The following is a 4,325-nucleotide window of genomic DNA, read 5'->3' as shown; positions in this document are numbered from 1 at the left end:
TAGATTTTAGGAGGCTCTTAAATAAATTGCCTAGAAATAAAGATGAGCTGCTGGTTTATGGTGAAACTTAATCTGTCCTGACTGGAACATTTGCAGAGATTTGGCTCAAGGACGCTGGACCTGGCTGGGCAGAGCAGAGAGACGGGGGTGTCCTCGGTGTTAAAAATGGGGTTGTGCGCAAATGTGCCACATCTGTGACATGTTTATTGTTCTTTGTGCTTTCGCATGTAGAAAAATAAAGCAAACTTTTTCTGATTATGTCAGTAATTGATGTTTATTGTAGATAACTTGTAAAATAAACTGAAGCATAAAAAAGAAAATAAGTGTTGTCTCTAAAGCTGTAGCTCCATGAAAATCACACTTTACATTTCGGTTACGCATTCCACATAACTCGCCTCGATTTTACAAAACCGAGCACATACTGGGCATGAGTTTGTAACATTTTAAAAACGTAATAGATTCTGTATACATTATACTTTTTATAACATGATTTAAATGCCGGAGGGGTAGCCATTGTTTAAACACACCGCATTTATCCAGCCAGTCTCCTCCTGCTGGATGTGGAGCTCTTCCCTCGCTGTTTCAGGGTACGAGTCAACCTAGGCTGGGGGTCGCTGCAGGGAAAAGCTACTGCCAAACCTCAGTGGCTGTGATGGTTAATTTTGGGTATCAACTTGCCTGGGTTAAGGGATACCTCGAACGCTGGTGAAGCATTCTTACTGCATGTGTCTGCGTGATGCCTGAGTTGGTGGACAGAGTGGAGAAGCTCCACCCTCGCCCATCCAGTGGAGAAGCTCCACCCTCGCCCATCCAGTGGAGAAGCTCCACCCTCGCCCATCCAGTGGAGAAGCTCCACCCTCGCCCATCCAGTGGAGAAGCTCCACCCTCGCCCATCCAGTGGAGAAGCTCCACCCTAGCCCATCCAGTCGGCTGGGGGCCCAGATAGAACGAAAAGGTGGAGGAAAGGTGAATTCCCTCTCTCTCTCTCTCTCTCTCTCTCTCTCTCTCCTCCTCTCCCTGCCTCCTCCTTCCTGTCTCTCTTTCTCGCCCTCTCTTTCTCTCTCTCTCACCCTCTCTTTCTCTCTCTCTCTCCTGGAGCAGGAATGCCCTTCTTATTTTATTTTTTATTTTTAGAGACAGAGTCTTGCTCTGTCGCCCAGGCTGGAGTGTGGTGGTGCGATCTCAGCTCACTGCAAGCTCCGCCTCCCGGGTTCACGCCATTCTCCTGCCTCAGCCTCCTGAGTAGCTGGGACTACAGGCACCCGCCACCACGCCCCGCTGATTTTTGTATTTTTAGTACAGACGGGGTTTCACTGTGTTAGCCAGGGTGGTCTCAATCTCCTGACCTCATGATCTGCCTGTCTCGGCCTCCCGAAGTGCTGGGATTACAGGCGTGAGCCACCGTGCTCAGCCAGGAATGCCCTTCTTCTCCTGCCCTTGGAGACCAGAACTCCAGGTTCCCTGGCCTTTGGCCCCCAGGGCTTGGCCAGCATCCGCCACCCCTTGTTCTCACGCCTTCAGCCTTGGACTCAGAGTCACACCATTACCTTCCCCGGTTCCGAGGACTTCAGACTTGGACTGAGACATGATACCAGCTTCCTTGTTTCTCCAGCGTGCAGACAGCCTGTGGGACTTCTCAGTCTCTATAATCATGTAAAAGAAATTGAAGACGATACAAACAAATGGAAAGACATCCCATGCTCATGGGTCAGAATTAATATTGTTAAAATGGCCATACTACCCAAAGCAGTCTACAGATTCAATGCAATTCCTATCAAAATACCCATGACATTATTCACAGAAATAGAAAAAAAAATCTTAACATTAAAAAGATCTTAATAATCTTAATATTAACATTCTTAACCACAAAGGACACAGAATAGCCCAAGCAATTCCCAGCAAAAAGAACAAAGCTGGTACAAAAATTAGTTGGATGTGGTGGCACACACCTGCAATTCTAGCTGCTCAGGAAGCTGAGGCAGGAGAATCACTTGAACCTAAGAGGCAGAGGTTGCAGTGAGCTGAGATTGTGCCACTGCACTCCAGCCTGGGCCACAGAGTGAAACTCCATCTAAAAAGAAAAAAAAAAAAAGCCTGCTGGAGGAATCACATAACCAGACCTCAGAATATATGACAAAGCTGTGGTAACCAAAACAGCATGGTACTGGCGTTAAAAAAACAGATACATAGACCAATGCAACAGAGTAGATAACCTAGAAATTAATCCCTCTATCTAGCACTAACTGATTTTTAACAAAGGTGCTAAGAGCACCCATTGGGGGAAAGGACAGCCTCTTCAATAAAAGGTGCTGGAAAACCTGGATATCCATGTGCAGAAGAATGAAGCTAGACCCCCACCTCTCACCCTACACAAAAATCAACTCAAAACGGATAAAAAACATAAGTAGAAGACCCAAAAGTACGAAACAAAGGGGGAATGCCTTAGGACATTGGCCCGGAAAATATTTTATCAGTAAGATCACAAAAGCACAGGCAACACAAGCAAAAATAAACACATGGAGTTTATGTCAAACTAAAAAGCTTCTGCACAGCGAGGGAGTTTGTGTCAAACTAAAAAGCTTCTGCACAGTGAGGGAAACAATCAAGAGAGTGAAAAGCCAACCTACCAAATGGGAGAAGATATTTGCCAACTACTCATCTGACAAGGGGCTAATGTCCAGAACATACAAGAAACTCAAACAACTCAACAGCAAAAAACCAGATTAAACAGCAACAATTTGATTTAAACATTGGCGAATGATCTGAACAGATATTTCTCAAAAGAAGACATGCAAATGGTCAACAGATCTATAAAAAAATGCTCAACATCACTAACCATCAGGGAACTGCAAATCAAAACCATGAGGAGATACCATCTTATACCAGTCAGAACTGGTCTATTATCAAAACGACAAGAAGTAACAAATGCTGGCAGGGATGCAGAGAAAAGGGAATCCGCCCTGTTGGTGGGAAGGTGAACGAACACAGCTGCTGTGGAGAACAGCACGGAGGCTACTCGGGAAACAAACTGCAGACACGATCCAGAAACCACTTCTAGGTGTTTATCCAAAGGGAAGGAAGTCAGTGCATCAGAGAGACATCCTCACCCTGTGTTGACTGCGGCACCATTCACAGCAGCCACGATATGGAACCAACCTGGGTGTCCGACAGCAGATGACTGATGAAGAAAGTGTGGCACACACACCGCAGAATACTATTCAGCCATGAAAAACAATGAGTCCTGTCACTGGTGGCAACATGGATGGAACTGGAGGACATTAGGTTAAATGAAATAAGCCAGGAACAGAAAGACAAATATCACATGTTCTCACATGGGGAAGCTAAAAAATGTTGACCTCAAAGAAGTAAAAATTAGAACAGAACATACTGGATGGTGGGAAGGGGAGGGGAAAGGAGAGGGAAAGATTTGTTAAAGGAAACAAAATTACCAGTCAGTGGGGGGGAGGTGTGAGTGTCTATGGCACTACAGGATGACCAGAGTTCATATGTTATATAGTTTCAAACAGCTGGAAGGACATTTAATGTTCCTAACAGAAATAAATGATAAGTGTTTGAGACAATGGTGTTTAAAAAAAGAAACTTCAGCCAAATTAAATCTAAAAGAGTGTAATTGAGCAAAGAACAATTTGCAAATAGAGTAGGTATGGAGACTCCCGCGCAGCCACGTGGCAGAAGAAGATTTATGGACGGGAAAAGGCAAGTGATGTACAGAAAACAGAAGCGAGGGACAGAAATGGCTGGATTGGCGGCAGCTCGGCATTTGTCTTATTTGAACACGGTTTGAACAGTTGACCACCTGCGACTGGCCAAAGCTCAGTGATTGGCATGAGAGTAGGTGACGGTCTGTTTGCACCTCCATGTAGGCTACAGTTCACCATGTACGGAGAAACCTTCAGGCCGAACTTAAAATGTGTAAGGTTGCAGCTTTAGGCCAAACTTGATTCAACAATGGATATGCTAATTAATCTGATCAGTGTGGGTTATATGTATCAAAAGAGCACTATGTAACCCTTGAATATTATACAATTATTCTATGTCAAAACATTTAAAAATTGGGAAAATACAAATTACTCCAAAGAGGAAATGGAGACATAGACATCTTCTCCAAAGAAGCTCTGCAAAGCCAACAAACCCATGGAAAGATGCTCCACATCACTCATCGTTAGGGGCGTGCAGATCAAACCGCAGTGAGAAACCACCTCGCACACCTAGTCAGATGACTGCCGAAAACCAGGAAGTACAAGTGCTGGTGAAGATGCGGAGAAGCTGGAATCCTCGTGCGTTGCTGGTGGGAAGGAGAGTGG

At 44.9% G+C, this 4,325-nt stretch overlaps 1 annotated feature.

Annotated features, from left to right (window-relative positions):
- Window positions 820-969: a silencer, noted in NCBI's record as "fragment chr12:132949478-132949627 (GRCh37/hg19 assembly coordinates)". NCBI's record gives its function as "represses an EF-1alpha promoter that drives an FKBP-Casp9 reporter gene in an ReSE screen in K562 erythroleukemia cells {active_cell/tissue: K562}" and the evidence as "EXISTENCE:reporter gene assay evidence [ECO:0000049][PMID:32094911]".

This window comes from Homo sapiens, chromosome 12, assembly GCF_000001405.40.
Source record: "Homo sapiens chromosome 12, GRCh38.p14 Primary Assembly".
In the NCBI taxonomy this organism is placed as follows: domain Eukaryota; kingdom Metazoa; phylum Chordata; class Mammalia; order Primates; family Hominidae; genus Homo; species Homo sapiens.
Note: the sequence above shows the minus strand (reverse complement) of the source record. Positions and strands in the feature narration are given on the sequence as shown.